This window comes from Homo sapiens, chromosome 4 (genome assembly GCF_000001405.40).
Source record: "Homo sapiens chromosome 4, GRCh38.p14 Primary Assembly".
Lineage (NCBI taxonomy): Eukaryota > Metazoa > Chordata > Mammalia > Primates > Hominidae > Homo > Homo sapiens.
The window spans coordinates 88,374,800-88,394,726 of NC_000004.12; the positions used below are offsets into that span (position 1 = coordinate 88,374,800).

Genomic DNA, 19,927 nt, shown 5'->3' on the forward strand with positions numbered 1-19,927 from the left:
CTTCTCCACAGCAAAGGAAACTCAACAAAGTGAAGAGACAACCCACAGAATGGGAGAAAAATATTTGTAAACTATCTGTCTGACAAGGGATTAATAACCATATTATTATAAGAAGCTCAGATAACTGAACAGCAAAAAAAAAAATCTGATTTTAAAAGGGCAAATGATCTGAATGGACATTTCTCAAAAGCAGACATACAAATGGCCAACAAGTATAAGAAAAAATGCTCAACATCACTAATCTTCATAGAAATGCAAATCAAAACCATGAGATATCATCTCACCACAGCTAGAATGGCTTTTACCAAAAGATAGGGAATAAGGAATGCAGGTGAGGATGTAAAGAAACGTACACTGTTGATGTACATTTCATACATTGTTGGTGGGAATGTAAATTAGTACAGCCACTATGGAGAACAGTATGGAGGTTCCTCAAAAAACTAAAAATAGAAATACCATATGATTCAGCAATTTCACTACTCTGTGTATATACAAAAGAAAGGAAATCAATATATCAAAGAGACATCTGCACTCCCACATTTACTGCAGTACTATTCACAATAGCCCAAATTTGGAATCAGGCTAAGTGCCCATCAATAGATGAATGGATAAAGAAAATGTGGTACATATACATAATGAAATATTGTTCAGCCATAAAAAAAGAATGGAATTCTGTCATTTCTGCAGCAACATGGGTGGAATGGTCATTATGTTAATGAAATAAGCCAAGCACAGAAAGACAATTATCACGTGTTTTCACTCATATGTCAGAGAGTAAAAAAAAAAAAAGTGAATCTCATGAAGATAAGGAGTACATTGTTGGTAACCAGAGTCCAGGAAGAGTAGGGGTAGGGGTGAGGAAAATGAAGAGAGGTTGATTAATGGGTACAAATATACAGTTGGATAGAAGAAATAAGACCTGGTTCAATAGCTCAGTAGAATGACTATAGGTACATTTCAAAACCACTAGCCAATAATAATTTGAATGTTCCTTTTTTTTTTTTTTTTTTTTTTGAGATAGGGTCTGGCTCTGTCGCCCAGGCTGGAGTGCAGTGGCACGATCTGGGCTCACTGCACCTTCCACCTCCCAGGCTCCGGGCTCAAGCAATCCTCCCACCTCAGCCTCCCACGTAGCTGGGACTACAGGTATGTGCCACTGCACCCAGCTATTTTTTGTAAAGATGGGGTTTCACCATGTTGCCCAGGCTGGTCTCCAACTCCTGAGCTCAAGCGATCCTCCCATCTCGGCCTCCTAAAGTGCTAGGATTATAGGCATGAGCCACTGTGCCTAGCCCAAGATAAATTATTTAAGGCGATAGATATCCCAATTTGATAATGTGTCAAATTATCATATGTACCCCCAAAACATGTGCATCTATTATGTATCAATAAAAGATTTTTTAGGCCAAGAGTGGTGGCTCACGCCTGTAATCCCAGCACTTTGGGAGGCTGAGGCAGGCGGATCACTTGAGGTTAGAAGTTCGAGATCAGCCTGGCCAACATGGTGAAACCCTATCTCTACGAAAAATACAAAAATTAGCCAGGTGTGATAGTGCCCGCCTGTAATCTGAGCTGTTCAGGAGGCTGAGGCAGGAGAATCGCTTGAATCGGGGAGGTGGAGGTTGCAGTGAGCTGAGATCGTGCCACTACACTCCAGCCTGGGTGGCAAAGCGAGACTCTGTCTCAAAAAAAAATTTTTTTTTAAAGAAATAACTTAATTTGAGGGCTCAGTATCTTATGGTAATAATACCAAACTCCTACATTTTGTGCTTGAGAAAAGAAATAAACATTAAGAAATTACTATTCAGAAAAAGGTTATATTTGGTATACAGCAAAACAGAACCAGAAATACTAATACTATCCACTGACTCACTACTCATCAATCCAATTGTCCGACATACCCTTATTAGCATCTACCAAGTTCCAGGTACTCTTGAGGTAGAAAAATAAAGAACATTTGTTCTTCTCTTTAAAGAACTTGAAACATGGTCATGAAGAGTGGTGAATTGAAATTACATAAATAGGTTCTGTAATAGTTTCTTTTAAAAAAAAATCAATAATGCTGATGATGGCTAACATTATCAAAGTTACCAAATCTAAAAACCAGTGCTCAGCGGGACATGGTGGCCTATAATCACAGCACTTTGGAAGGCTGAGGTAGGCAGATCATCTGAGGTCAGGAGTTCAAGACCAGCCTGGGCAACATGATGAAACCCCATCTCTTCAAAAAATACAAAAGTTAGCTGGGCGTAGTGGCACGTGCCTGTAGTCCCGCTACTTGGGAGGCTAAGGCGGGAGGATTGCTTGAACCTGGGAGGCGGAGGTTGCTGTGAGTTGAGATCACGCCATTGCACTCCAGCCTGGGCATCAAGAGCGGAAACTCTATCTCAAACAAACAAACAAATAAATAAATAAAAATCAGTGCTCAATCCTTACCTTGCTCCACAAGAAATTGACAGAGTTGATCCTTCCTTTATTCGTTACTTGCTCTGTCTATAACTCCTCCTCCTGGTTTTCCTCCTATGATCAGTCCTCTAGCCTCTGCTATACTGTCACCACATTCACCCCCTGGGTGTTCTCATTCAGCCATCTGGCTTTAAGCATCACCTCTACACTGATGGCTCCCAATTTTCTGACTACACCCAAGCTTCTCTCTACAACTCCAAAACAGTTTATCCTATTGCCTTCTTGATTAACAAGCATCTTACAGTTATCATTACCAATCTGTATTCCAGACACACATAGCTTAAACCTGCACCTTCCTCAGGGTTTCCCAGTCCAGTAGAGTTTACCTTGGAGTAACCCCTAAAGCCAACCCTGGAGTAATCCCTAATCCCTTTTCTTCTTTCCCCCCAATTTCTAATCCATCATCAAATCTGTGGACTCTTACTTTCAAAACATGTCTTGAATCTAATAACTTCTCCTCTCTTCCCTTCTAGGATATCACCTGACCTGAACTCTGAAGTAGTCTCTGCTAACTGGCTTTCTGCTTCCATTTTTGTCCTATTATTTTTCACACAGCAGCCAGATGAATCTTTAAAAACTGAAGTCAGATCATGGCTCTTCTCTATTCAAAACCTTCCAACTGCTTCTTTTCATCCTCTGCCCTCAGGTGTGATCACGACTCATTCCCTCATTTCCCATGTCCCCTCAGCTCTCTGCACAAATATCACTTCATCAGAGAGATCTTCCCTAATATCATCTCAAATACCAGTGCCTTCCGCCTCCACCCTCTGGTTCCTGTTGTATTTTTCGTTGCCCCTTGATATTACACTATGTGTTTATCTGTTTATGTTCTCTTTCCCTCAGGAGAATGTAAACGCATCAAGAGGATCTTGTCTTTCACTAATTGTATTTTCAGGCGGGGCCCAGAGGCTCACGCCTGTAATCCCTGCACTTTGGAAAGCTGAGGGGTGGATCACTTGAGGTCAGGAGTTCGAGACCAGCCTGGCCAACATGGTGAAACCCCATCTTTACTAAAAATACAAAAATTAAGTCGGGCGTCGTGGCGCATGCCTGTAATCCCACCTACTCGGGAGGCCGAGGCAAGAGAATCAGCTTGAACCCGTGAGGTGGAGGTTGCAGTGAGCCGAGATGGTGCCACTGCACTCCAGCCTGAGCAGCAGAGCGACACTCCATCTCAAACAAACAAACAAACAAACAAACAAAAAACAAACATATTTTCAATGCCAAAAAAGGTCTGGAATGAGGTGGGCACTCAGATGCTTTATTAACCACTCTAGGTATTATTCTAACACTTTATGTGCCTATTAAATTATCCCGACATATTAGATTTGCTGAATTGCAGTCCATATTTCGTAGATATGATAGCTGAAGCACGGAATCATTAGGTAACTTGCCCAAAGTGGCATTCACGACTCATAAATGGCTTAGGATGTAAACTCAGTTTTATTCCCTGGGACGCCCTCTCTGCTCTTCAGCACTTGAAGTTCAGGCAGCGAGAGTTGACATGGGGCCAGGGCTGCGCCCCTGGGGCGGGTTGAAGACAGGGTGAGTCTCTTGATATTCAGGAAATCATCGCGCACCCAGTCACCAGCGTTCGGGAGCCTGTCGCAGCGGGACCGACGGAATCCGGAGCAGGCGACAGGGCGCAGAAGCGGGATGTACTTCTGTTGGGGCGCCGACTCCAGGGAGCTGCAGCGCCGGAGGACGGCGGGCAGCCCCGGGGCTGAGCTACTGCAGGCGGCCAGCGGGGAGCGCCACTCTCTGCTGCTGCTGACCAACCACAGGGTCCTCTCGTGCGGAGACAACAGCAGGGGTCAGCTGGGCCGCAGGGGCGCGCAGCGCGGGGAGCTGCCAGGTGAGCGGGGGGCCCCAGGTGCAGGGTGTGAGGACCCCAGTACATGGGCGCGGGGGCTTGGGTACCGGGCGCAGGGAACCGGGTGCGGAGCGCTGGGACCCGGGTGAGGGGCGCGGGGGCCCAGGTGCAGGGAGCGGCTCAGATGCTGGGCGCCGCGGGCCAGGCAGGGAGGGGTGCTGGGAGCCTTGGATTCCTCGGGGCCCGAAGAGCCACAGGAACCAGGAAAATGGTGCCCTGTGCTACCGAAGAGCAACTTCCTCAGTTTCGTTTTCCCAACGCCCCTCGGATTTGTTTCGGTTTCCAATTCAAGTTCAAAGCGAAACTGAGAGCCGAAACTAACCTGGTCAGCGCTGCTCTGGAAAGAGATGTGGTCCCTCCGGCTTGCCTTGCAGATAAATCCTCGCCTGCGCGGTTCTACCTGGAGAAGGCAGCCTGACCTTACAAACGTGGTTTGTGGGTCAGACACCTGTATCTCCCTTAGAAATACACTGGGGCATTAAAAAATATATATATATAAAAATATATATATAAAATATATAAATATATATAATATATAAATATATACAAATATATAATATATAAATATATAATATATAAATATATATAATATATAAATATATAAATATATAACATATAAATATATATAATATATAAATATATATATAACATATAAATATATATAATATATAAATATATATATAACATATAAATATATATAATATATAAATATATATATAGCATATAAATATATATAATATATAAATATATATATAATATATAAATATATATAATATATAAATATATATAATATATAAATATATATATAATATATAAATATATATAATATATAAATATATATAATATATAAATATATATATAATATATAAATATATATAATATATAAATATATATAATATATAAATATATATATAATATATAAATATATATAATATATAAATATATATAATATATAAATATATATATAATATATAAATATATATAATATATAAATATATATAATATATAAATATATATAATATATAAATATATATATAATATATAAATATATATATAATATAAATATATATATAATATATAAATATATAATATATAAATATATATAATATATAAATATATAATATATAAATATATATAATATATAAATATATAATATATAAATATATATATAATATATAAATATATATATAATATATAAATATATATATAATATAAATATATATATAATATATAAATATATATATATAATATATAAATATATATATATAATATATAAATATATATATATACACATAATAGGCCGGACGCGGTGGCTTACGCCTGTGATCCCAGCACTTTGGGAGGCCGAGGCGGGCGGAGCACGAGGTCAGGAAATCGAGACCACCCTGGCCAATATGATGAAACCCCATCTCTACTAAAATACAAAAAATAAACTGGGCGTGGTGGCGGGCGCCTGTAGTCCCAGCTACTTGGGAGGCTGAGGCAGGGGAATCGCTTGAACCCGGGAGGCAGAGGTTGCAGTGAGCCGAAATCGCGACACTGCACTCCAGCCTGGCAACAGAGCAAGACTCTGTCTCAAAAAACATAATAATAATAAATATATATATTATATATGTGAGATAATACAATAATCGTTATGGATTATTGTAGAAATACGAGAAAGCAATCACCGTAGCTCCAACACCCAAAGATAACTCCTAACATTTTGATGCATTTTCTCCTTGTCTACTTTTTTCTATGTACATATTTAATCTTTATAAAAATCATGTCATTATAGATTTGTATATGCAGTATTTATGCAACTCTGTACATTGTGTTTTCATCAAGCATAATCTTATGAACATATTACCCTTTCATTTTGTATGTTTTGAAAATATGTTTTAAATTGCTGCATAACATTCTAAACTCTGAGAGTACCATAATTATTCTCTTTTTGTGGAAATTAGATTGTTTCCCACTAGGGGCTTTTATAAATAATACTGATTGATATTCTCGTAAGCAAATATTTGACTACATTTTTGATGACCTGCTGAGAATAGTTTCAAAAGGTGTGTGGAGGAGGAAAATTTTTCCTCTACCCTCTTAGGTTCAGCGGCTGGGTCCTGCAAACTTAACTGACAAAAGACAGATTGACAGGAGAAAAAGCATACAATTTTATTAATCTTTTACATATAGGGGAATTTACATGCGTGGGAATTTACAGAATAGAAGTGAAACTCAAGTGCTTCGACTTAGGAGCTTGTGTACCATGTTTAACAAAGAAAAGGGGGTTTGGACTTTAAAGGATGATGAACTCAGGGAAAGTGACTAGAAAATATATGGGAAAATCTAATGGAAGATAAGGGTTATTTTAATTGACTTGTTTATGCAGGCTCACCTCAGTGCCAAGTCTTCATCTTAGGTGACCCTTCTCTTCTTTTTTTTTTTTTTTTTTTTTTGAGATGGGGTTTTGCCCTGTCACCAGGCTGTAGTGCAATGGCACTATCTCGGCTCACTGCAACCTCCGCCTCCCCAGTTCAAACGGTTCTTCTGCCTCAGCCTCCCAAGTAGCAGGGATTACAGGCACTCACCACCATGCCCAGCTAATTTTTATATTTTTAGTAGAGACGGGGTTTCACTATGTTGGTCAGGCTGGTCTCAAACTCCTGACCTCGTGATCCACCCGCCTCGGCCTCCCAAAGTGCTGGGATTACAGTTATGAGCCACTGCGCCCGGCTGACCCTTTTCTTGGTGCCAGAGATGGGAGCTTCTCACAAAAGGATATTTATGACCTACTTTTAGGTAGATAAGAAGAGAGCAGAGACCTCTTCCTGCATCTGTTGATTCTCAATTGCCTTCAGCTCAAATTCTTAAAGTAGCATGTTTTCAGGTCTTATCACCCTCATTTGGAAATGAAGGGCAACATGATACTTAACCCCAAATTGTTCTCTAGAAAAATGGTACCAATTTCTATCTTTGTGAGTGCATGAATCTTTGGGAAATTTTAACCTTGCATAAATTGACAGTAAATAGTTGAAAAAGATAAGATTACAAAGATAAAAGGAAAAACAAAATCTTAAATGTTGCAAAAACTTTACTGGTATGATGTTCTCAACTCCAAACCTCTAATAATTCAGAGACAGACACCTTGGGAAAGCAGTTTAGGTTGGCTTGTAGGGAAATGTGATCCGGTTTTCATTTGTGGGCATATTTAGGGCCTCCATAGGGGCATATTTTTCACTTTTCATTGTAAGAGGATCCAGCATCTGCCTCTCACACTCATGAGGTAGGCTCCCTTCCAATTTCCTTCTGAGCAAGGGATTCACTGCTTTCAGTGTTTAGGGTGGGAAGACAGAATAGCAAAATGGAGGAGATCCCAACTTTTTTCTGGGTCTCTTTATTTTGCTAGGTTTTGCTAGAGAAACATTTGGTCATGTGTCATAGTCCCTAGAAGTTACCCCCTCCGTGATGCCTACTCCTTTAAATAACAGCCATTAAAAGATAGACTTGGGTAATTGAATGTTTTTAAGAGTCAATTTGAACATTCAGCAGTTCATGAATTGAGCAGCACCAGACCTCAAGCAGTTGGGCTCCACTAAGGGAGGTGCAAGGAGATGCCAGGGGGAACCTTTGATAACGTGTTCCAGGAAGCAAGACAAAGAAAATACTTGATTGGTTAAAGTGGAAAGTCCCTTGTTTGAAGTAGTCAGCAGTTTCTGGTTGGTAAAGTCTCTAGTTAGATGTTAGTTGGTGGTTTCTGATTGGTTAACCTTAAGTTTCATTTTCCTAGGCTATGATCAATCACTCTGAGTTGGGTTTTGGTTTGCTTAGGTAGGAACCCAAGGTGCTGGAGCCATCTCAACCTGATAGTCTCCCTGTTGATTATTTTAACAGAGCTGTATCCTATAAAGACAGGGTAACATACATTGAATTTACTTCCTTCAGACATTTAGAATGGACTTAAGGTCTTGATTCAAAAGACCATTGGAGGAGACAAGAAATCTGGATGATCCTTCTTTTTGAAGAAAAGTGCTGTCTTAAACTTGTGTTAAATTAATAATCTGCAGTGGTGGTTGGGGGGTGTTTTGTTTTGTTTCCCAAAGAACCAATTCAGGCATTGGAAACCCTAATTGTTGATCTCGTGAGCTGCGGGAAGGAGCACTCCCTGGCTGTGTGCCACAAAGGAAGGGTCTTCGCATGGGGAGCTGGTTCTGAAGGGCAGCTGGGGATTGGAGAATTCAAGGAAATAAGTTTCACACCTAAGTAAGTGTTTCAACCCACTCCTTCATTTATTCAATATATATAGTACCATGTGCCAGGCACTGTGCAAGATGCCAGGATACAAAGACGACTATGACAGGCCAGCTGCAGTGGTTCATGTCTGTAATCCCAACACTTTGGAAGGCTAAGGTGGGCAGATCACTTGAGGTCAGGAATTTGAGACCAGCCTGGTCAACATGGCGAAAGCCCCTCTCTACAAAAAAGACACAAGAAAATTAGCCGGGCATGGTGTCAGGCACCCGCAATCCCAACTACTCAGGAGGCTGAAGCGGGAGAATCGCTTGAACCTGGGAGGCAGAGGTTGCAGTGGTGCTGGGACAGCGCCACTGCACTCCAGCCTGGGCAACAGAGGGAGACTCAGTCTCAAAAAAAAAAAAAAAAAAAAAAAAAAAAAAGACTATGACAAACACAGTTCCTAACCTGAAGGACTACAGTGTAGTGAGGGAAGAAGGGAGGAAAAAACCTACAACACCAATTATTATTTAATTAGAGCAGAGTGAAATGAGATGTGACCCTTTGATCTTAATCTTATCTCTTGGAATATAACTGTGGGGGCCAACTTAGACCTCCAGAGTGGGTATAAAGACCACTGTAAAGTAGAAACATTTGAGCTGCAAAAGATACAGATATAAATCTTACCTGAACTTCCTTTATCATACTAAAACAGAGCCTCCTGAAAATGCAGTTCCCAGTAACTTCCTTGAGTGAGAGTTTCCTGGGAATTCAGTTGTCATTAAGATAGACCACCCATTACTATTACCATCAAAAAGCCCAATAGAACCTTCTATACTTTCCCACTGAAGTCCCAAAACCCCGCCTTTTATTAAGGTGACATATATAAAACTTTACTTTGGGATATTCTGCAATAGCGAGCATGCTTGTAAATAACCTTTGTCTTTTCTCTTGTTAATCTATTGTCAGTTAATTTGCAAGCCCCCAAATATTGGACCAAAGGTGGAAGAGAAGTTTTTTTCTCAACACAACCTTTTGGCTTGTCATAAACCACTGGGCCCTAACATTTTACTTAGTAAAGTGGAGGGAAATATCACATTTCCTCACAAACAACTTCCCAGGACAGATATGACAAGTAGTTGGCTCTGGATTATGTGTTTATGAATTACATACTTAGGGGATTTTCAAACGCATGCTTTTTAATATTAGGAAATCACCTCTTGTTACCTCTTCTGGTCATTAAATTCTAGAAGAGATCAATTTGACTTGGGGAAATGAGCATTGAACTTGGAATGAAAAGACCAGAATTTGAGTCTGGTTCTACAGCATCATAACTATTTGACCTCTTTGAGTTCCATTAGATTCACCTTATGAAATTGCTCATAGTGGCCAGGTGCAGTGGCTCACACCTGTAATCCCAGCACTTTGGCAGGCCAAGGTGGGCGGATCACCTGAGATCAGGATTTCGAGACCAGCCTGGCCAACATGGTGAAACCTCGTCTATACTAAAAATACAAAAAAAAATAGCCGGACGTTGTGGTGCATGCCTGTAATCCCAGCTACTTGGGAGGCTGAGGCAGTAGAATTACTTGAACCCGGGAGGAGGAGGTTATAGTGAGCCAAGATCGCACCACTGCCCTCCAGCCTGGGTGACAGAGCAAGACTCCGTCTGTGAAAAAAAAAAAGGAAATTGCTGATAGTTATCTGGTTTTGATCCACAAAAATGGCAATTTTGTATGATTTAACCTAATGATTTCTTCATTAAATTAGGGCTTAAATTAGATGATGAAGTTGTTGGTGTTCTATAAATTCTAAGGCCCTATACTATATATGCAGAAAAAATTTATTTCTCTTTTAGGCTATTAAGTGTAGAATAAAATTAGTATATTAGATATTGCATTAAAGTCCAATAGCAATGGCTTTTGCATTTATATACTGTTTTGGATTCTGTCCTATAACTTGGTACATGTTAATGTCATGTTAAAAACAGTTTGAGGGCTTTGAAATAAAGGTACTATAGAAATACAAGAAAATAAAATAGTTTTCCTGGACCAGATGTATTATTTGAGATACTTTTAAATATCTGTAGTCCACCGGACAACTCGCTCTAAATAAGGATTAATCAATTTTGTATTATTTGTATTATAGGAAAATAATGACTCTGAATGATATAAAAATAATACAAGTTTCCTGTGGACACTACCACTCCCTGGCATTATCAAAAGGTAAGAAACACTTTTTGGATCTGAGTGTGAGTAGGAAGTAATTTTTTGAATAGGAATTATAGCTGCTGATTTTTAATGCACTGGGGTTCATTTAGAAGTTTTTCATTCCCCAGGTTTCATAAGATATATTGTTTTCCTATTTTTTTCTCAAATTTCTTGGTCCTAATTATACTCTAAACAGTGCCTAATTCATAGTGCCATAAGGGGCTGTCTCTGGTTATTTGACCTAACTGGCCAACTCTCTCAGAGCTTAGTAGTGGCTTTATTTCCAGCCCTTTGCTCTTTATGCTGAATGGCCTGTCCACACTGGCAGACTTATTTGTCTATTTCACTTAGATCAAAGAAAGAGAAGTCAAGGTGTCAAAATCATGACTCTATATTTTTTCTTTTTAAAAATTTTTACTTATTTATTTTTATTGACACATAACAATTGTACATCTACACTTTTTCTACCAACCTCCACCCTCCTTTGTCCACCCTCAATCCAAATTTCTCAATGGAGAGTCTGAAGGAGGAAAAATTTTTCCTCTACCCTCTTATGCGTAGTCTTTGGGAACCTGCAAATTAAATTAACAGAAGACAGATTAAAAGAGAAAAGGCACCCAATTTATCTTTTTTCTTTTCTTTTTTTTTTTTTTTTTCTTTTTTGAGATGGAGTCTTGTTCTGTCACCCAGGCTGGAGTGTGGTGGCACGATCTCAGCTCACTGCAACCTCCACCTCCTGGGTTCAGGCGATTCTCCTGCCTCAGCCTCCCAAGTAGCTGGGATCACAGGTGTGCGCCACCATGCCCGGCTAATTTTTGTATTTTTAGTATAGACGAGGTTTCACTATGTTGGCCAGGCTGGTCTCGAACTCCTGACCTCAAGTGATCCACCTGCCTTGGTCTCCCAAAGTGCTAGGGTTACAGGCGTGAGCCACTGTGCCCGGTCCCCAATTTATATTAATATTTTTGTGCACAAGAGTTCACAGAAAATAAGTGAAACTAAAAGTAGTGGTTAGACTCAGGAACTTACATACTGTTTTAACAAAAAAAGGGAGTTTGGGCTTCAAGGGATAATAAATTGTGGGAAAGTGACTAGGAAATATATAGGGAAACCAATGGAAGATACGGGATATTTTAGTAAGATTCGTTTCTGCAGATTCATCTCAGTGCTGCTTCATTGTCTTCAGTGATAAAAGTTACTCTTCTCTCCCTGGTACAGTAGAGTGGAGATAACTCCACAAAGGGAAACTTATGCCTTGCTTTTAGGCAGGTAAGAGAGGGGCAGAAACCTCTTCCTGCATCTCTTAATTCTCAATTGCCTTCAACTCAAAACAATCCTTATGCCAAAGTAGCATATTTTGGTGTGGCATATCCTGACCCCCTTCAAAGGACTATAACATTTGTATGTTCCTCAGGTAATGTCTTATGTGTCATTGCAACTGTGCCATGGTCTATGGACAGCTAACATTTATTGGTCAGCTTCTATGTGCCAGCTGCCATGTTAAATGTTTTATGTGTGTTTTTTCACATAATTACCTTACAAACACATGAACTGGGCTGGGCATAGTGGCTCACACCTGTATTTCCAGCACTTAGGGAGGCTGAAGCAGGAGGATCACTTGAGGCCAGGAGTTTGAGACCAGCCTGGCCAACATAGTGAGATCCTGTCTCTACAAAAATTTGAAAAATTAGCTGGGCATGGTGGTATGCACCTGTAGTTCCAACTAATCAGGGGGCTGAAGTTGGAGGAGTGCTCGAGCTCAGGAGTTTGAAGCTGCAGTGAGCTATGATTGTGCCACTGCATTCCAGGCTGGGCGACAGAGTAAGACTGTTTCTGAAAAAGAAAAACAAACGAAAACAGGAGCAGGGTATGATTTATATCCTCATTTCAGAAATGGAAAAAATTGAGTTCAGGGATTTTAAATTATTTACCCAAAGTTACACACTAAGAAACAGAATAGTCAGGATTTGAACCTATAGTGTTTAGGTCTCAACCCTAAGTGCTTAACTACTACGCTGCACTGACTACAAATCCAGGGCATATCCCGTGGCCATTGTGTGATTCCTTCTACCTGTCATTTCTAGCTGTTTGATCATGGGCAAGTTATTTAACTTGGCTGAGTCTCAATTTTCTCATCTGTGGGAATATTGATACCTAACTTGAAGGTTATTTAGAAGATTGAGTGAGAGAAGATACCCTGTATACCTTGTACAGTCCTTAGCATATAGCAGAGGCACCATAAATAGGAACGTCTTTTCCTTTCTCACACTCCTTCTTAATTATGGACATGGTGTGAATTCTTTCCTTGGGGCACTGACTTGCCTTTGCATTGGTCTGGACTGTAAAGTCTGGGCAGAGCCCAGGCATTCAATGCATTTGCTATGGTGAAAGGTGAGTTCTCATAGACCTTCGTGAGAGTTTAACGTTTTGCATTTTGCCCTCAAAATTATTTTTAGTGTTAGAAATTAACTTTAGAAGAGTTAAAAAATAAAAGATGTAATAACTTATTAAAAAATCTCTGAGATATGTTAGCATTTCACTGGGTATATACTTAGGCATTAGATAAGCTTAGATTAGATTTTTTTTTTCTGGCTGGGTGCGGTGGCTCACGCCTGTAATCCCAGCACTCTGGAAGGGGATCACTTGAGGCCAGGAGTTCGAGACCAGCCTAGCCAACATGGTGAAACCCTGTCTCTACTAAAAATATAGGCTGGGCACGGTGGCTCATGCCTGTAATCCCAGGACTTTAGGAAGCCGAGGTGGGTGGATCACCTGAGGTCAGCAGTTCAAGACCAGCCTGGCCAACATGAGGAAACCCCGTCTCTACTAAAAATACAAAAATTAACCGGGCATGGTGGCAGGTACCTGCAATCCTAGCTACTTGGGAGACTGAGGCAGGAGAATCACTTGATCCTGGGAGGCAGAGGTTGCAGTGAGCTGGGATTGTGCCATTGCACTCAAGCCTGGGTGACAGAGCAAGACTCGTCTCAAAAAAAAAAAAAAAAAAAAGACAGATTAATAGGAGAAAAGACATATTAATTTATTAATATGCATAGGGGAGAACCATAGAGCAATTACCCCAATGCTCCAATGGGGTAGAGAAGCTTATATACCATCTTGAGGCAGAGGTGGTCCTGTTGTGTAGATGAAGGCTTACAGGTAGCAGCCCTCAAAGAGAATAGATGGTGAATGTTTCTTCCAGACCTTTAGAGGTGTGGGACTCTCAGTTAATCTTTCCTAGATCAGACACGGGAGGGCCTCAGAGAAAGCCTGCCTGCATCAATGCAGATTTTCTGTACAGGTGCAAATCTCCCACACAAAAGACAGCTTTTTAGCTATGCTTGCACTTCCAGCCCTACTGAATAGCCATCTTGAAATATGTTAAAGAAGTGGGATGAGATATATTGGTTTGGTACCCCTTCAAGAGTAAGGGGACAGAGAGTGAGTACCTGGGTGGAGGAAAGGAGTCTTTCTAGTTTATGAGGCGGTCAGGGAAGATATCTCTCAAAAGGTGACATATGAGCAGAAACCAAATGAAAAGGGAGGGAGAGATAGGATGCTAACCATGAAAGAATTACCCAGACACAAAGGCCATGGGGTTGGGGCATGCTCAGAAGTGTACTCCAGGAATAGCAAAGGGTCTTGAGAGGAGTGAGCAGGGGGAGATGAAGTCCGGGAAGTGGGGGTGGGCCAGACTGGTGATGTGGGGTCTGTGATGGGAGTTGGTCCGTCATTGAGTGAGACAGCAAGCTCCTGAAGTATTCAGTTGGACTTAGATTTTTAAAAGGATCACTCTGGCTATTCTTTGGAGAACAAACTGATGGGGGCAAAGGTTGCCTCAGGGAGATCAGTGAGGTGCTATTGTCATTTTTTAGGAGAGAAAAGTTGGTGACTTGGCTAAGGTGGTAGCAGTGGAGAGGTGAGAAATGGTTGGATTCTGGATAGATTTTGAGGGTAGAAGTTTTGAATTTTCTGGGTCAAAGGGTGTAAAAGAGAAGAGTTAAGGATATCTGTAAGATTTTTGGCCTGAGCAGCTGAAAGAACACAGCTGCCCTTAACTGGAGGGAGAAGAGTGGACATTGTTTGAAGGGACTTTTGAAGGTGACCTGGACCGCCCCGCTTGCCTTTAGTTGGGATACTTTAATCTCATTTTTTTCTTCATCTCTGTTTTACCTTTTAAAGATTTGTAAAATTAAATAGAAGTAGAATAGAAATAGAAGGAAATCCTACCATTTGCAACTTGGAAGACATCATGCTAAGTGAAATAAGCCAGACACAGAAAGACAAATACCTCATGGTCTCACTTAGCTGTAGTATCTGAGAAAGTCAAACTCAGCCAGGCACGGTAGCTCATGCCTGTAATCCCAACACTTTGGGAGGCTGAGGCAGGTGGATCACCTGAGGTCAGGAGTTCGACATCAACCTGGCCAACATGGTGAAACCCCATCTCTACTAAAAAAGCACAAAAATTAGCCGGGCGTGGTGGCACGCATTTGTAATCCCAGCTACTCAGGAGCCTGAGGCAGGAGAATCGCTTGAAACCAGGAGGTGGAGTTTGCAGTGAGCCAAGATCGCACCCTGCACTCCAGTCTGGATGACAGAATGAAACTCTGTATCAAAAAAAAAAAAAAAAAAAAAAAAGAAAGTCAAACTCAATAAAAACAGAGAGTAGAAAGGTAGTTGCCAGGGGCTGGGGGTTGGGGGGAAATCAGAAGATGTGGGTCAAAGGGTATAAACTTTCAGTTATAAGGTGAGTAATTTCTAATGTACAGCCATGTGACTATATAGTTAATAATAGTACATTGTATACTTGAAGTTTGCTAAGAGGGTAGATCTTAAGTATTCTCACCACACACACACACAAAGGTAACTATGTGAGGTGATGGATATGTTAATTAGCTGATTGCGACAATCATTTAACAATGTATATGTATTTCAGCTCATCATATTGTATACCTTAAATAGATGAAATTTTTATTTGTCAATTATCCCTCATTAAAGCCACAAAAAAGATTTGTAGAATTAGTAGTTTCTATTTGAATTTGGTATTCTAATATGTGTACAATTCTTAATTTCTCGTCTTTGTTGTAGATAGCCAAGTGTTTTCGTGGGGAAAGAACAGCCATGGGCAGCTGGGCTTGGGGAAGGAGTTCCCCTCCCAAGCCAGCCCGCAGAGGGTGAGGTCCCTGGAGGGGATCCCACTGGCTCAGGTGGCTGCCGGAGGGGCTCACAGCTTTGCCCTGTCTCTCTGTGGGACTTCGTTTGGCTGGGGAAGTAACAGTGCCGGGCAGCTGGCCCTCAGTGGGCGTAATGTCCCAGGTAAGGAGATAGTCTTGTTTGTGCAGTAAATCATTCTTTCTTTCCAGGTGGAAGACCAACTTGGCAAAGGGCAGTCTTAACGCTTAAAACAGTGGTTCCCAAACTTGTGACACATTCGAATAGCCTAGGGAGCTATATTAGTTTCTTGTTGTAGCGGTAACAAATCATCTCAAACCTAGCAGCTTAAAACAACACAAATGTACTATCATGTAGTTCTGGAGGTCAGGATTCTGACACACGTCTCACTGTGCTAAAGTCAAGGTGTTAGCAGGTTACCTTCTTCCCTACAGGCTCTGAGGGAGAATCCATTTTCGTGCCTTCCCCAGCTTCTAAAGGCCACCTGCATTAATTGACTCATAGACCTCTTTCTTCTTCAAAGCTAGCAGTGGCTGATCAAGTCTTTCTCAAGTCACATTACTTTCACATAGACTCTTCTGCCTCCCTCTTCCTCAGTTAAAAGACCCTTGATTACAGTGTGCTCACCTGGATAATCCAGGCGCATCTCCCTTGTTTTAAGGTCAACTGATTAACAACTTTAGTTCCATCGGTTTCCGTAACTTCACTCTGCCATGTAACTTAACATATTTACAGGCTCCAGGATTAGGAAGTGGGAGACCATTATTCTTTGGGAGGCCATTATTCAGCCTACCATAGGATCCTTTAAAAATCCCGATGCCCAGGTCAGACCCCATACCTATTAAATCAGAATGTCTGGGGGTGAAACCCAGAAGCATCCATCGTCATTAGAGACCTCACAGTTGATGCCAATTTGCAGCAAAGTTTAGAAACTGCTGGACTAGGAGACTGCTAACATTAGGTCAAACAACCAGTTCCTCTAGGCAAAAGAAAACTTCTCTAAACAACCAGTTCCTCTGAACACAAAACTCGTCAAGATGTACTCCCCACAAACTCCATCCTCCTCTATTCAATTCCTTACAGTCAGCTAACATACAGTTAACACCTAACCTGTGCCAGTCCCATGCTGAGCACTTATACCTTGTTTCATTTCACCATTTCAGCATTAGCTAAGTTTTTCTTTCCTTTCCTTTCCTTTTCCTTTCCCTTTTCCTCCCCTCCCCACTCCTTTCCCCTCCCTTTCCCTTCCCTCCCCTCCCCTTCTCCCTCCCCTCCCCTTCTCTCCCTCCCCTCCCCTTCTCTCCCTCCCTCCCCTCCCCCTTCCTCCCCTCCCCTTCTCCCCTCCACTCCCCCCTCCCCTTCTCCCCTTCCGTTCCCCCTCTCCCCTCCCTTCCCCTCTCCTCCCCTGTCTTCCCTTCTGTCCTCTTCCCTTCTCTTCTTTCTTTTTTCTTTTCTTTTCTTCAGACAAGGTCTCACTCTGTTGCCCAGGCTGGAGTGCAGTGGTGTGATCTCAGCTCACTGGAATCTCAGCTCCCGAGTAGCTGGGCTCACAGGCACACACCACCACACCCAGCTAATTTTTGTATTTTTTGTAGTATCAGGCATGAGGGTCTTGAAGCTTAGCTTTCTAGGTCAATAGCCTTGGGGTTTCACCATGTTGCCCAGGCTGGTTTTGAACTCCTGCGCTCAAGTGATCCACCCGCCTCAACCTCCCAAAGCACTGGGATTACAGGTGTGAGACACCATGCCTGACCAGTTTTTCTTATCATCTCAATTTTTATAATACATTTGCAGAGCATCTATTGTGTGACAGAAATATGTGAAAATTGTCAGAATCAATATGGAGTCACTTATTTCAAACCCTAATAAAATGGAGTTGGGTGGCCTGGGGGCATGAAGGGAGGATCCTCACACAGAGCTGCCTGATAATAACTACCCCAGAGGACTCTACCAAAACCACAACCTTGCAGTTAAGGCCACCTCTATGAGGACGTCTTTCCAGTAGCAGTGTTTCCTAACTGCAGCCTTGCAAGTAACCTTACTAAATGGCAGCCTTGCAGTCAGGGTGGCTTATTTGAAGACGCTCTTCTAGCAATGGCCAGTACACATGTCACTGCCTGCAATAATTCCTTGTAACCAATGAACTTGTTTCGAAATAACCTATGTGTACTTCTCCTTTTTGCCTTTAGAAGTTCCCCCTTGCCTCAACCTCCCCAGATATGCCCATGGCCTGCTATGGCATGCATATCCTGGATTGTAATCCCATCATTCATTCCCAAATAAACTTGTTCTTTGAGAGCCTCTCTGTTGTTATTTTAGGTTGACAAATGAATACAACAGATGGCAGTAGTATCAGGCATGAGGGTCTTGAAGCTTAGCTTTCTAGGTCAATAGCCTCGGGCATTCCGGAAGATTAGATAGCTTCCAGAAATAAATGTTGAAGGAGCACTTCTTTTTTTCTCTCCCAAGGTAGGGTTTTTCCTCTGTCTTATACTTCGGATTGTTTACTTTTAAAATTATGTTAATGAATTATAAAAATAAGAAAAGATATAAAAGATACCCCTTACATAAAAAAAAAAGATATTAAAAATATAAATACTCATGAAATCTGAAAACTATGTTAGTGAATTATAAGAATAATAAAATATATCTCTTACACAAAAAAAGAAATATAAAAAGATATTAAAATGTAAATAGTCATGAAATCTGAGTCTGTTTCTTATACTCTAGAGATTCTGCTTTCTTTCAACAGTGCAAAGCAACAAGCCTCTCTCAGTCGGTGCACTGAAGAATCTAGGTGTGGTTTATATCAGCTGTGGTGATGCACACACTGCGGTGCTTACCCAGGTAATCCAAAACGTGTTGCTATTTTTTTGAGTTCCAGAGAAATGGTAACAAGATACATATGTACTAATTATTGTTGAAAGACAGAGACATTAGCCCATTTGGGCCACTATAACAAAATACCATAAAAAGAGTGGCTTATGAACAATAGAGATCTATTTCCCATAGTTCTGGAGGCTGGGAAGTCCAAAATCAAGGTGCCAGCAGATTTGATGTCTGATGAGGGCCAAACTTCTCATTCACAGATACCATATTTTCACTGTGTCCTCACATAGTGAAGGGAGTGAGGGGTCCTTCCTGGGCCTCTTTTGTGAGGGCACTAATCCCATTGATGAGGGTTCTGCCTTCATGACCTAATCATTTATCAAAGGCCCCATCTCCTAATATCATGGCATTGAGGTTTAGGACTTCAACATATGAATTCTGGGGGGATGCAAACATTCAGACTGTAGCATAAGATATATATACCAATATCTAGACAGAGCCATTCAGTGTACACATATCTAAAGAGGAGATGTGAACCAAACATAAATCATAAGGTTTTCAAGATACATAACAAAAGCTAATTTCAGCTTTAGGAAGTATCTTTAGATACCTACTAAATTAGGTTAATAGCTGGGTGTGGTGGCTCATGCCTATAATCCCAGCACTTTGGGAGGCCAAGGCGGGCAGATCACGAGGTCAGGAGTTCAAGACCAGCCTGGCCAACATAGTGAAATCCCATCTCTACTAAAAATACAAAAATTAGCTGGGCATGGTTACGGGCACCTGTAGTCCCAGCTACTTGGGAGGCTGAGGCAGGAGAATCAATTGAACCCAGGAGTCAGAGGTTGCAGTGAGCCAAGATCGTGCCACTGCACTCCAGCCTGGTTGACACAGCAAGACTCTCCTGTCCAAAAAAAAAAAAAAAAAAAAATTAGGTTAATACAGGAACTAATCCCTTTTAGCAATTATTATTATTATTATTATTATTATTATTTTTTGAGACAGAATCTCGCTCAGTCGCCCAGGCTGGAGTGCAGTGGTGCAATCTCGGCTCACTGCAACCTTCGCCTCCCAGGTTCAAGCAATTCTCCTGCCTCAGCCTCCCAAGTGGCTGGGATTACAGGCGTGTGCCACCACGCCTGGCTAATTTTTGTATTTTTAG

The 19,927-nt window shown here is 41.2% G+C and overlaps 1 protein-coding gene across 5 annotated transcripts in view, besides 3 other annotated features; it reads left to right on the top strand.

The window, feature by feature from the left end:
* Positions 1-4,052: 4,052 nt before the first annotated feature.
* HERC6 (HECT and RLD domain containing E3 ubiquitin protein ligase family member 6) overlaps positions 4,053-19,927 on the top strand; it is a 64,246-nt gene continuing 48,371 nt past the window's right edge. For 3 of the 5 annotated variants that reach the window (XM_005263083.5, XM_011532053.4, XM_047415867.1), the window contains exons 1-5: positions 4,053-4,321; positions 8,386-8,581; positions 10,700-10,776; positions 15,853-16,080; positions 18,689-18,783. In XM_005263083.5, coding sequence (XP_005263140.1) covers positions 4,123-4,321; positions 8,386-8,581; positions 10,700-10,776; positions 15,853-16,080; positions 18,689-18,783 — 795 coding nt within the window. In that variant the 5' untranslated portion in view covers positions 4,053-4,122. The remainder of the gene's footprint in view (positions 4,322-8,385; positions 8,582-10,699; positions 10,777-15,852; positions 16,081-18,688; positions 18,784-19,927) is intronic. The other 2 variants (NM_017912.4, NM_001165136.2) reach the window with 1 other exon arrangement.
* Positions 4,276-4,465: a silencer, noted in NCBI's record as "silent region_15563". NCBI's record gives its function as "represses an Ori minimal core promoter by ATAC-STARR-seq in GM12878 lymphoblastoid cells {active_cell/tissue: GM12878}" and the evidence as "EXISTENCE:reporter gene assay evidence [ECO:0000049][PMID:35858748]".
* Positions 4,476-4,805: an enhancer, noted in NCBI's record as "active region_21713". NCBI's record gives its function as "activates an Ori minimal core promoter by ATAC-STARR-seq in GM12878 lymphoblastoid cells {active_cell/tissue: GM12878}" and the evidence as "EXISTENCE:reporter gene assay evidence [ECO:0000049][PMID:35858748]".
* Positions 7,882-8,181: an enhancer, noted in NCBI's record as "active region_21714". NCBI's record gives its function as "activates an Ori minimal core promoter by ATAC-STARR-seq in GM12878 lymphoblastoid cells {active_cell/tissue: GM12878}" and the evidence as "EXISTENCE:reporter gene assay evidence [ECO:0000049][PMID:35858748]".